The following is a 14,004-nucleotide window of genomic DNA, read 5'->3' as shown; positions in this document are numbered from 1 at the left end:
GTGAAGGCAATCACAATAGAGTTTCAAATATTCTGAAAGTGATATTTATGTCCCACAGAATTTTTTTAAAGAATAACATGAAATAAAGTTCATGAAAACATTTGATCAGATATGACGTATTGTCTAAATAAAGCCTTTCTTTCTGGGTATCTTAAAAATTACTTATGGCCCCCACCCAGGGATAATCTCTTGCTATTTTCACAGATAATTTACATGTTGGATCTAATGTGGTTATCTTGTTGCTACTTACTTAGTACAGATAATCATTCCTAAGGTTCTCCTGGCTATATTTAAAATAGGCAATTATATAAAATCTCCTCTTAGGCAAAATAAAATATTTTCCTGGAGCCAATTCAGAAATCTAGAGTACTTCTCTGTATTAATTTTCTAATAATTCTTATATAATCATGTGTACACAGAAATCCAACATTTTGAGGCTCTTATTTTGATATTAGGGCACAGGGGCTGACTTTTGGCAGAGTGACTTGGGGACATAATTAACAGCTGACATACACTCTGCTTCTGGGACTCTTGATTTCTCTTGCTAAGCAATAATGACCTATATGCAAAGCTGGGTTTGCTCTATTCTTAAATCTCTGAAAATATCCAAGTCAATAGAAAAGTTGCAAATGGATTACAGGTCACTAAGCCTGGGTTTTAAAAAGAGAAGCAAGCCAGGTGCAGTGGCTCATGCCTGTAATCCCAGCAAGTTGAGAGGCAGGAAGAAGCCAGTAGTTAGAGACCAGCCTGAGCAACACAGACCCCCGTCTCTACAAAAAATGTTTTAAAAATTAGCCAGGCGTGGTGGCACATGCCTGTAGTCCTAGCTACTTGGGAAGCTGAGACAGGAGAATCCCTTGAGTCCAAGAATTGGAGGCTAGAGTAAGTTATCATCATGCCACTGCACCCCAGCCTGGGCAATAGAGTGAGACTCTGTCTCTTAAAGACAAACAGGGGGGAAAAAAAAGAAGGAAAGAAAAAAAACAGAAAAAAAATAGGCAAATAATTTGAGATGAAGAAAATCATAATTCACCCTATTAGAGAATTTGCTCAAGATTCCAAGCTATCTTGATGAAAGATATGGGTGCATTTGTACATGTGCTTACATACACAGGTACACAAATGAAAGCAACCACTAAGTCTCAGAGAAATGCTGCTGTGGACAGTTGCCACAGTTGAGGTTTCAGATCCAGGTTCGATGTAGGGTTCTACTTCACTTTACTCCCTCCCCTTTGAAGCTAAAACAACATAGCCCTTGGAGTCATAGAGTTTTTGTTATAGAACAAAACTTAAAAGTTATCTGACTAGATAACTGGCTATCCAGATGACTAAATAATCTGCCAGATGATGTGAGAGATCCCTCTGCAATATCCCCCACAGTTGATATCTTGTTTGAAGAGAGGCAGGGTTGCACAGTATCTAAATGCACACGCTTTGAGTCAGAGACACATCTGGGTTACCCAGGCTCTACCCCTTACTAGTAGTCATCTAGACTAAGTACCTTAACCTCACTTTCCTCAGTTGTATTAGGGGGTGATAACAGTACCAACCTCATAGGGCTAGTGTGATGCTTGCATAGACTACTAAAGTGGTACAGTAAGGACTTAGCATGTAGTAAGTGCTCATACAAAATGTTAGCTAGCACTGACTACTGCTATAATAGGCCCATTCCAAAGTTAAAACAGCTCCAACTATCAGGAAGGTCAAAACCAGCTGTCTGCTTCCTCCCTCTCATGAATCCTAGTCTGCCCTACAGAATTTCACCAGTCTCTGAGTTGCTGTCAACAGGGAGGGTGGATGGGGCCATGGCCCACCTGAGTCTCCTTGTTACCAAGCAGAACATGCCCAGCTTCCTCGACGGTTCCTCAGGTGGCCTCCATGATCAATGTGCTCTCCCCTGGATGTGCTCCTGCCTGCCAGGGCCCCTTTAAATGTGGCGCCTGTTTTGTCTTTTTTATATAAGGCCATTGTGTTGATTATCTCGGCAGAAACCACCTAACTCAGCCTTAAATAGTGGTTAATTAAACCCCAGAGGCTGGTGTCAAGAGTTTGCCAATGAGCAGTTAGCCAGCCTCTTGCAGCTGTGCAACCTCTGGCATCTCAGTTTCCTTGCCTGTAAGATAAAGGGAATAACAGTACCTACTTCACTGGGTAACTGGTAATTGTGAAGATTTGATGAGCTAAGATTTCTTCTAATCCTATTTTTCCTTGATCCCCCTCCAGTCTGGTGTGTGTGGGTTTTTTTTTTTTTTTTTTTTTCCGAGACGGAGTCTTGCTCAGCCCCCCAGGCTGGAGTGCAATGATGCGACCTTGGCTCACTGCAACCACCATCTCCTGGGTTCAAGCGATTCTCCCATCTCAACCTCCCGAGCAGCTGGGATTACAGGCACCTGCCATCATCCCGGCTAATTTTTAGATTTTAGTAGAGAAGGGGTTTCAGCATGTTGGCCAGGCTGGTCTTGAACTCCTGATCTCAGGTGATGTGCCTGCCTCGGCCTCCCAAAGTGCTAGGATTACAGGTGTGAGCCACTGTGCCCTGCCCAGTCTGGCTTTAATGCACACAAATCCACTGAAACCACTCTCATCAAGGTTACTGACCATCATCAAACAGTCAAATCCAATGGTCAAGTTGGCCTGTGTCTTTCTTGACCACTTAGCAATGCTTGTCAAATCCAAACATGCCTTCCTTCTCCAAATACCTTCTTCACGTATCTTACAGGACACCCGCCTCTCCTGACTGTCACACTACCTCTCTGGCTACTCCCTCATAGTCTCCATTGTTAGACCCTCCTCCTCATCTCAACTTCAGCTTCTAGCTGCTGGAGTGCCCCACGTCAGTTTCTTTCAGAGTCCACACTCACTCCCCCTAGGTAGTCTCACCCAGTGTAATATAATGGACAGGAACATGGACTATGGAGCCAAGCTGCCTTCCTAGGTGAGCTCCTATACTTTTAAGTGTGTTACATAGGCCAGTGACTTAACCTCACAGTGCCTCAGTTTCCGCACCCATAAAATGGGGGGTAACTTCATATAGTTGTTGCAAGGATTAAATTAGTTTGTACAGGTAAAGTACTTAGAGTGTGATAAGGATTTTCTAAGTGTTAACTAGTACCCAGTTCCATGGCTTTATATATCATACATATACTGATGATTCCCAAATACATATACAGTTTCCATTATTCCTGTAAACTCATAATTCATATCTAAATGCCTACCTAACATCTCCACATTGATGTCAAATGAAATCTCAAAAGTTTACATCACCAAACTGAACTCTTGATTCCATGTCATCTCCCAACCTTCTTTCTCCTGGTCTCACCAGTTTCACTCAAACTGTATGACCATTCACCCGGTTGTACGAGGCCAAAAACCTTAGAGTCACCCTCAACTCTTTTCTCCCTTATCCAATCTTCAGCAAATCTGATTACTCCACTTTCAAAATGTATCCAGAATCTGGTCTCTTCTCACTCCTTCCACCATTACCATCTGGAACAAGCCACCATCATTTCTTGCCTGAGCAACTGTAATACCACCTAATTGGTACCTCTGTTTCCCTCTTTGTTCCCACATGACCTATTCTGTAGCCAGGAACAAGAATATTCTTCAAAAATGAAAATCAGATGTTGCTCCCCTGATTAAAACTCTCTGATGAGTTTCCACCGCACATGGAATGAAATCCAAACTCCTCTCATTTACTAACAATGCTCTATGTGACCTGCCTTTATCTCCTTTTCAGCCTCATCTCTTACCACTCTCCCCTTACCAACTCTACTCCCGTCACAATGTCTGCCCTGTGTTTGTCAAACTCATAAGCAGTTTCTGCTTCAGTGCCTTTGTACCTGCAGTCCCTCAGGCTAGAACGTTCTTTTCCCCATCTTTACATGCCCCTTCCTCATTTCTTTGCAAACTTTACTCAAATGTTACTTACAGAGACCTTCCCAGTCCATCACATCTAAAAAACAATGCTGTCCTCACTTCTGACCCATTACTGTCCCTTTATCCTATTTTTCTTCATAGCACTTAATAATACACCTGACAATATATGTTTATTTATTTGTCATGCCTACTAGAATGTCAGCTCCTTGGGGACGGCAACTGTATTCCATTCTGTTCGCTGCAGTATCCACTGCACCTAAGCAGTGTCTGAAACACAGGAGGCACTCAATAAATATATCTTGAATGAATGAAGAAACGAATAGTGCTTAGCACAGTTCCTGGACAGAATAAACAACTGTAAGTTTGTGATGTCAATTTTGGAAGGTAAAAAAATGTTTAATAGAAAGGCCAAAATTCTTTAGTGATACTATATATGAAGTCAAAAATGAAAACATCACCTAATTTTCATTTTAACCTTTAACATTTTAAATTTTAATTAATTTAAATTAAATTAAATTTTATTTATTTATTAATTTAATTTAATTTAATTTAATTTAATTTAAATTTTAACATTTAAAATCATCATTTTAACCTAATTTCAATATAAATACACATTATATTATACTCACTTGGAGTTTCTTCCAAAATTTCCTGGAACTTGGTTCTCTCATATTCCACCAACTGGCGTTGAAGGTGCGGTCTGAGACTCATAATTGTAAAATTGGCCATGTCCATTTGCATGAGGTCCAGGACATGGAATATTTGTCTAAAAATTTTAGAATTAAAATAGAGAGATGATTAAGAAGTGAAGCTGAAATTCACTAACAATGATCTATGTTCCAGGCTGAAAACAATAAACATCCCCAAAATGGTTTTAAAGTTCCAATTGCCATTTGGTAGGGTCATGTTTCATAGAAGCTCATACACGTGTACTGCAAATGTGTCCTTCCACAGATCTCAAGAGTAATTACTTGAAGCATAAACAATCTTAATGATATAAGAAAAATTCAAGAAGGAATTTTCATTTGAAAACCCCTGAAATTTTAAAGAGCCAGGACACAGGGTATATGGCCTCTATTCCTTAGGGAATAAGAAAAATTAAAAAAAGAAAGGACAAGGCAGTGAGGCACTGAGGAAAAAACACTTCCTTTTAGAGTTAGGCAGCCTCATGCCCAAACCCAGCTTTGCAACTGGCCAGATTTGTGGGCATATACACAAGTAAATCAGTCTCTCTGAGCCTCAGTTTCCTCATCTGTGAAAGAGGACAACCTCAACCTTGTAGAGATGTTGTGAACAGTCAATGAGATAACAATTGTAAAGTGCAGGGGGCAGTGGCACCCAGTGGGCGCTCAACAAATGACCATGATGAACATCACAGATTTGAGATCTTACTAGGGTAATACGACAACTAGAAGCAAGGATCCTATAACTGAGGAATCACAATCTGCCAGAGCCGAGCACGACTCTAAGGATACTTAACACCCATTTGACAGAGAGTGTCACTTTGAGAGTCTATTAACCTGCCCAAGATTGCAAAGTAAATTACCCACTACATGCAGACCAGTCTTTCTCCTACCTTTCCAAAACATTTACATAAAACTCAATTCTCAATGTGGCCACCATACACAAAAAAGAAAACTCTGCTTCAATGGCAAAAAGTGTTGCAGACTCTTCTTCCCTCTTGGATCACAAGGAAGTTATCGTCTATGTAGCCAGATGAGATCCTCGTGACATAATATGCACCCCACTTCCTTAGAGAAGCTCCAGAAGATGTGGCTGGCTGACCACTAAAGGCCCAATCTCCCTCCCTGCAGTGCAAATTTGTGGCTGTGAAAAGTATTTCCAGGCTGTAACTACCTTTCTCAACTCCCCTTTCAATCTAGGTGGGATCATGTGACTAGTCATGGTCAAAGAGAATGTGTCACTTCTGGGCTGAGGTGGCTATATATTGCATATGTCTTCCCCATGGTCTCTTTCCCATTTGCCAGCTGAATGGAGAGGACTGTAAGGACCTGAGCAAGGGTAGAGCCAAGCACAGGAGGAGGCTGGGTCCCTGGATGACACGTGGAGGGTTGTCTGATCAAGGACCCCTGAATTGGACTGTGACATGAGAAACAAACTTTTACTGGATAAACCACTGAGAATTTAGGGTTTATGTGTTATAGCAGCTAGTGACCCTAACTAATAAAGAAGCCTTGACTAAATTAGGTCCCTTGTCGGAGGCTCTATTAAGACCCTCTACTTCCCCTTCCACTTATCACAATTGTAATTAATTGTTCAAGATCTCTCTGCCCATTAGACTCCCTGGAGTCAGGGATTATATCTGTCTTTTTCATCATTGCATCTTCAGGGCCCACTATGTGCCAACTAACAACCTTGTCAGATCATTCTATGTGAAAACTCTCTGCATACAGTAAATAATTGACATGGTCTCTGCTTATATGGTTTTCTTCTAGGGTCAGTAATTTATTTGGGGTACTAGTTGTTATTCTGTGTTCCCTGATGCCCAACTTCCCTTCTGAATGAACTCAAAGATACTCTAGGAAATGCAAACAGCAAAAGTGCTAACCTCAGCACCTCCACGATGTTGCCAGTAGCCTTTAACTCTCTGATATCATTATCTCGCACGGGAGCACACAGCTTTCCCATCGTACTGATGACATAGTTGGCCAGGCCTTGGATGTCAACAGCACTGTGCTCAGCCTGCTGCCTAATGAGGTCTGTGTCCAAAACTTCACAGATTTGGTTGCGAAGCCGGTTGCCACCGGGAGTGAGAAAAGAGAGAAGAATCTACAGGGAAAGAAATAAAAATTAACAGCATCATGATGTGAATAAAAGCTGTCACTTTTCACCTCAGTGTCTAGATGACCAAGCTCTTTGCCCACATTTTAGTGCCTCAGATGCCACAGAAGTTGGCACTGACTGCATGGGTGGATCAGAGGAGCATTCCAGTGTCTCAACCCTAAATAGCAAGGTCTATCTTCTGAATTAAAGGGCCCCCACCATGGGAAACTCCTGCTCCTGTCAGAATAAAAACAGCTAGCAAGGAAGCAAGATTACTGAAAGCACAGTAAGTCCTTACTTAATATTGCTGACAGGTTCCTGGAAATTGCAACTTTAAGTGAAATGATATATAATGAAACCAATTTTAAGATAGGCTAATTGATATAAACAACGGTTAAGTTTCTATGGCATATTTCTGGTCACAAAAAAAATCACCAAACTTCTAAATAAAGACCCCAAACACTTCTAATATTAAACACTGAGATAAATGTGAGCTATACATACAAGAAAAATTAATAAAAACAAGATAATGATTGACCCAATTTTTGGTGAATCAGTGAGTGACAGCTGCCATGGTGGTAGGTTAAACTGGGGAAGAAATGTTTGCAAACAAAAATTCTTAAGGAACACCTCCTACCACCACACAGTTCAAAAATAAATAATAATTATGGCAGGCTCACTGAGCACTTTCACGGCACATTGTTTATTGTTGTGCATCTGTATGACTATCGAAGACTTTATGAATTTTTATGTTACAATAATTTGTATTCATTCGTTTTCCAGCTTGCTTACTCTAGTTCAGGGTTGCAAGTGGCAGGAGCCTACCATGGCAGCTCAGGGCACAAGGCAGGAACCAGCCCTGGACAGGATGCCATTCCACTGCAGGATGCACTCACTCACATACCCACACTCACTCAGACTGAGACCATTTAGACTTGTCAATGAACTTAACATGCACATCTTTGGGATGTGGGAGGAAACCAGAGTACCCAAAGAAAAGCTATGCAGACATGAGGAGATCATACAAACTCCACACAGATGGCAGCCCCAGCTAGGAATCTATCTTTTTTCTTTCTTTTCTTTTCTTTTTTTTTTGAGATGGAGTCTCGCTCTGTCACCAGGCCGGAGTGCAGTGGTGTGATCTTGGCTCACTGCAATCTCCGCCTCCCAGGTTCAAGAGATTCTCCTGCCCCAGCCTCCTGAGTAGCTGGGATTACAGGGGTGCACCACCACATCCAGCTAATTTTTGTATTTTTAGTTACAGATGGGGTCACCATGTTGGCCAGGATGGTCTCTATCCCCCGACCTTGTGATCCGCCCACCTGGGCCTCCCAAAGTTCTGGGATTACAGGCATGAGCCGCCGCGCCCAGCTGGAATCTATCTTTTTTCTCATCAACATTATAAAGAAAAAGTGTTGAACAAATCAATATGATGCGAGGATCTGCTGCATTTCAAAACGTCTACAGGTAAAAGTTCAGGGAAGAAAGAACAAGGTGCAGATCATGGCTCCAAAAGAACTCTTTAAAAAAGGATAGATGAAAATATCCCATGGGGTCGATTAAGTATATTTTACATATAGAATATTTATTATATACAAGCAGCCTATTTATTGATTATTCAGTTACAGAGGACACTGTGCTTATCCATACAGTACATGCTTAAGAGCTTGCGCTCTGAGCCAGTATGGCTCAGTTCAAGTCCCTCTCTACCCCACAAAGTTGTGTGACCCTGGATGAGTCAGAAAACTTGGATTTTTAATAAATAAGAATAACAGGAGCAACTACTGTACAGTGTTCTGATAAGAAGAAATGAACAATCTAGTGCTTGGAATAGAGCAAGCCCTTGTAAATGTTAGCTAACATTACAACTGTCACCTCATTTAGTTCTTATGACTACCCTGTAAGTACTCAGGAAAGAGAGACTTAAAGAGAGAACCCGTCACTAAACCAGAGTCTCTGCGCTTTAGCATCACCCTAAGCTGTGTCCATGGCACTATTTTTCCAGCCTTCACGCTACTCCAGGAGGTGCAGGGGGAAACTCTGCCAGTGAACTTGATCCTTTTTTGAAAAAGAGTGGCCAATACTAAAGAACATAAAACAATCTTTGGGGGGAAAAAACTGCTATAGTTTCAATATTTGTGTTTTCCTCTGTCCCCAAATTCATATGTTGAAACCCAATCCCCAATGGAATGGTATTAGAAGGTGGGGCCTTTGGGAGGTGATTAAGTCATAAGGGTGAGGTCCACATGAATGGAACTGTACTGTTATAAAAGAGACCCTAGGCTGGGCGCGGTGGCTCACGCCTGTAATCCCAGCACTCTGGGAGGCCAAGGTGGGCGAATCATGAGGTCAGGAGATCGAGACCATCCTGGCTAACAAGGTGAAACCCCGTCTCTACTAAAAATACAAAAAATTAGCTGGGCGCGGTGGCGGGCGCCTGTAGTCCCAGCTACTCGGGAGGCTGAGGCAGGAGAATGGCGTGAACCCGGGAAGCGGAGCTTGCAGTGAGCCGAGATTGCGCCACTGCAGTCCGCAGTCCGGCCTGGGCGACAGAGTGAGACTCCGTCTCAAAAAAAATAAAAAAAAAAAAAAAAATAAAATAAAATACAAAAAATTAGCCAGGCATGGTGGCATGAGCCTGTAGTCCCAGATACTTGGGAGGCTGAGGCAGGAGAATTACTTGAACCCGGGAGGCAGAGGTTGCAGTGAGCCGAGATTGTGCCACCGCACTCCAGCCTAGGCAACAGAGCGAGACTCCGTCTCAAAACAAAACAACAAAAAGACCCTAAAGAGCTTCTCTGCCTTTTCTGCCACGTGAAGACACAGCAAGAAGGCACCATCTATGAATCAGGGAGTGAGCCCTCACCAGATGCCGAATCTGGTGGTGCTTTGATTTTGGACTTCCCAGCCTCCAGTACTGTGAGAAGTAAATTTCTATTGTTTATAAGCCACCCAGGCTATGCCAGTCTGTTATAGCAGCCCACCTGGAGTAAGACGCTAACTGACACAGACAACAAAGCAACTTGCCTCTCTGATTTCTTCAAACAGTTTGATGGCATGTTCAAACTCAGGAGGGTCAGCATTTAGTTCTGAATCCAAGACGTCCCAGAAGGCCTGGTGAACAATGTGCTTCACTCGACCAGCCAAACTATGGCAATAAAATGAATTGTTTTTTAAAATAAGCATAACTTTTTCCTGATTATAAAAGAAACATCCTCATTGTAGAAATCTTATAAAATGTAAAAAAAACACAGAATAATTGTCCTTAATCCATTAATCTTTTAATATTTTTCTTGTTGAATGCATTATTTTAACATAGCTAAGAGCATATATACAAAATATATACTTTTCATTTAACATTCTGTCTTGTTTCCCCTAGACCTTGAAAATGCTTTCAATAACTTCATGAAATTCTGTCCTAAAGAGATTTCATAATTTATGTAGCTACCCTTCTATATAGATCTTTAGACTTGTTCTACATTTTTGGGATGAGATGGCAAAGTTGCTCTTCCTCACCAGCTGAAATTTCATGGCATGGAATAGAACAGATTGGCCCCAAGGGCACATGCATTTGAATGCCTGCCAACTTCAGACTTAGGTGTCCCATTTAAAGTTAGCCAGACCAAACTGGTGAAATAGAAGCCTTCCTAGGAAGAGCTCACAATAGAATAATTGGCCACCTTGCTTCACCCCTTATGTCAATCCCTTAAAATAGGTGCACGTTAAAATACACATTCCTACCTAACTTCTCTACCATTTAGCAATAGTTTTTAGAAAACCACATGTCCCTCCACTGTAATTACTGACGAGGCTCTTTCCCCACAGAGCTATATACCTTTCCTAAGCAGAGGCCATAAGTCCTCCAGGTAGGTACTTACCATTGTGCCTAGTACAGTGCCTGATATATAGTGACTGCTTAACAAATGCATGCATGGTGAATGAATTCATAATTTGATAAGTATATCTCTTTTTTTCTGAGACAGAGTCTCACTCTGTCGCCCAGGCTGCAGTGCAGTGGCGCAGTCTCAGCTTACTGCGGCCTCCGCCTCCCAGGTTCAAGTGATTCTCATGCCTCAGCCTCCCAAGTAGCTGGGATTACAGGCATGCACTGCCACACCCAGCTAATTTTTGTACTTTTAGTAGAGACAGGGTTTCACCACGTCGGGCAGGCTGGTCTTAAACTCCTGACCTCAGGTGATCTGCTCACCTCAGCCTCCCAAAGTGCTGGGATTACAGGTGTGAGCCACTGCGCCCGGCTAAGACTTTATCTTTAAACAAAGGCAATGTGTCCTAACTCTGTACTTTGTTTCCCTTGCTCACATTTTCTAGCCATGGCAGAAACTGAAGGGAAGAGAGATTAATATTTTCCATAGTATCAAAGTATTTATGTGCAAGGCACTTTTATGCTAGTGAGTATGCATTTGAAGTGAGTAGTGTAGCCCCCTTCTTATTCTTGGGAAGTGTGAGGTTCAGGTATGGTCTCAGCAAAGCCAGGATTCAAACCCCACAGTCTGTCTGAGCCTAAAATGCCTTCACTATGGCCTGTACTCGCCACTTTTGAATTTAAAGTACAGATATGCCCTGTCTTTTGCTTTACCTCATAAAAAATACAAATTTTAACTTTAAAACAAGACTCCATCTCAAAAAATTCATTTGTATTAGTCAATAAATGTTTATTAAACATCCAATATGTGTAGGGCCCTGTTTTAGGAACTGGGAATACTACAGTGAAAAGAAAGTCTCTGACCTCAAAAAGCTTATATGTTAGCAGGGACAAAAAGGCAAAAAATACATTAAAAATGAATACGACAATTTCAGACCTATGAGAAAGAATAAGACAATGTGGTACACAGTTACAGAGAGGGTGCTGATTTCACTGGATGGTGGGAAAAAGCCTCTTTAAGTCAGTGACCTTTGTGTTCAGACTCAGAAGGGGAGAGCAAAGAGCCATGTGAAGGTCTGGGAAAAGAACATTCAAAAAGAAGAAGTCAGAGGAACAAAGTTTATGAGACAAGATCCAGATTGGTGAACCCTGAGGTAAGGAAGGAAGCCAGTGTGGCTGAAGCACAGCAAGCAGGAGGGACAGCACTGAGATGGGGTCAGGGGAGTGGGGCCATCCAGGCCATAGGAAAATGCTTAGATTTTTGGTCTCTGAGTAAGTGAAAACCATTGAAGAGTTTTTGGCAAAGAAATCATCTAATATAGCTCATTCTTTAAAAACATCATTAAGGCTACTGGATATGGAAGATGAACTGTTGGGGGCTAAGAAAGGAGACACGGCAACCAGTTAGGACTGAAAGGGTCCAGGCCACAGATGACGGTGGCCTAGCCTAGGGCTGTAGCAGTAGAGCTGGTATCAAGGGTCATGGCAAAATGCAAGTTACCAAAGGAAACCAAACAGATACACCCACGATACATGGCAAGCTTAAAAAATGTTAATATTAAATGAACAACATCCCCAAGAGGACTATGATCCACATTTTAAAGAAGAAGAGTTATTACATTGACTTCCTTTACTTTTCCTGCTTTAAAACAAATGAAAAAGTTCTGAATGGGATCAAATATTCTAAGTTGTCTTAACTGATAGAATGCCTCAGGATTTATAATTGGTACTGTAAGGTTGAAAATTCAATCCACGAACCAACTTTGCTTCTAAAGACGACTGATCTGTAATAATAGTCTCAAGCCTCTTCTCTTTGTCTCAGGAAACCTGTGAGCCACTGACTCCAGAAAGGCTGAAGTAGGATCCAAAGGGGTGGCTCCAACTAGAGGTCGGAGGGCGAGGTTAACCAGGAAGTGCCTCTTGCAGCTGTGATTCCTACCTCCAGACATTTCTGGATTGCCTGCTTTTAGCACTTTGACAGTTCAGGTGCATTTATTTATTCTTCAGAACCTGAGTATCAGTTTTCCATAAATCAATGTGCAAATATGTCTTGAGCCTGTACTGTATGTCAGGCACTATGCTAGACAATAGGGATACAGCAACAAACAATACAGACATAGCTCCTCCATAAATAGTGCATTTCAATCAAGTGGGGAAGATGGACATCAAACATAAAATTATAAGACCTCTTAACAAAAAGGAGGCAGCAAGGGCTACAGGTGTCTGTAGCAAAGGGATTAATTGTAGTCTAGGGGGTTCACCAATGTCAGAAAAAGCTTCCCTCAGGAAGTGACATATAAACTGAGTTCTAAAGATTATGGGTAATATGTATCCTAGGGGAATTTTTTTGTTTGTTTGTTTTTGTTTTTGTTTTTTGAGACGGAGTACTCTGTTGCGCAGGCTGTAGTGCAGTGGTGCGATCTCGGCTCACTGAAACCTCCACCTCCTGGGTTCACGCAATTCTCCTGCCTCAGCCTCCCAAGTAGCTGGGATTACACGCGCCCCACCACCATGGCCGGCTAATTTTTGTGTTTTTAGTAGAGGTGAGGTTTCACCACGTTGGCCGGGCTGGTCACAAACAGGAATTTTTTTTTTTTTTTTTTGAGACAGGGTCTTGCTCTGTCACCCAGGCTGGAGTGTAGTGGCATGATGAGAGCTCACTGCAGTCCCTGAACTCCTGGGCTCAAATGATCTTCTTGACTCAGCCTCCCCGGTACCTGTAATTACAGGCTCATGCCACCATGCTGGATAATATTTTTATTTTTATTTTTTACAGAGATGGGGTCTTGCTTTGCTGCCCAGGCCAGTCTCAAACTCCTGGCTTCAAGGAATCCTCCCGCCTCCACCTCCCAAAGTGATGGGGTTACAGGTGTGAGCTATCACACCCAGCGAGAATTTTTTTAAAACAAGTATAAGACCTTGTTAGAGAACTAAATGTTTACCCCTGAGGATATTATACAAGAACTTCCAGGAATCAGTGTAAATATGTGTCTATCTCTCTCTCTGTCTCTCTCTCTCTCTCTCTCTCTCTCACACACACACACACACACACACACACACACACACACACACAGAATCTTCAGCAGTTTATATACAACAAATGCCCCCAGGTTACCTCTTTTCTGGGAGAGCCTCTTGTTTCAATTGAAAGTTCTCATTTACAGCAATCTCATGAGCAAGAGTCAAGTTTGATAAGTTCCTTGCTGTAGCCATCACTTCATCAAATGTTACAACCCTTGGAGGGCTTGTTGCTGAAAGAAAAACAAAAGCCAGTTAATGTTGCAGAAGAAAAGTTGTCATCCAACGAAGCCTCCTGATGCAGATAAGGTTTAATTTATCAGAATGTATATACTTCAGAGTTTTATAGGTCAGGAGACTATATATTAAAATAGGTGAATTCCCTCAGTTAATAAAGGCTTCAAAAATTTAAGAACTCCTTCAATAGCTTCAGTTACCATATT

At 41.9% G+C, this 14,004-nt stretch overlaps 1 protein-coding gene across 20 annotated transcripts in view; it reads right to left on the bottom strand.

Moving 5' to 3' along the window:
• The window catches only part of TCP11L2 (t-complex 11 like 2), a 49,069-nt gene that overhangs the window by 18,852 nt on the left and 16,213 nt on the right, over positions 1-14,004 (bottom strand). For all 20 annotated transcript variants that reach the window (XM_047428667.1, XM_017019131.2, XM_047428666.1 and 17 more), the window contains 4 exons: positions 13,659-13,794; positions 9,688-9,808; positions 6,446-6,666; positions 4,506-4,642 (listed from right to left, as the gene is read on the bottom strand). In XM_047428667.1, coding sequence (XP_047284623.1) covers positions 4,506-4,642; positions 6,446-6,666; positions 9,688-9,808; positions 13,659-13,794 — 615 coding nt within the window. The remainder of the gene's footprint in view (positions 1-4,505; positions 4,643-6,445; positions 6,667-9,687; positions 9,809-13,658; positions 13,795-14,004) is intronic.

The sequence above is a fragment of the Homo sapiens genome, chromosome 12 (genome assembly GCF_000001405.40).
Source record: "Homo sapiens chromosome 12, GRCh38.p14 Primary Assembly".
Classification (NCBI taxonomy): Eukaryota; Metazoa; Chordata; class Mammalia; order Primates; family Hominidae; genus Homo; species Homo sapiens.
Note: the sequence above shows the minus strand (reverse complement) of the source record. Positions and strands in the feature narration are given on the sequence as shown.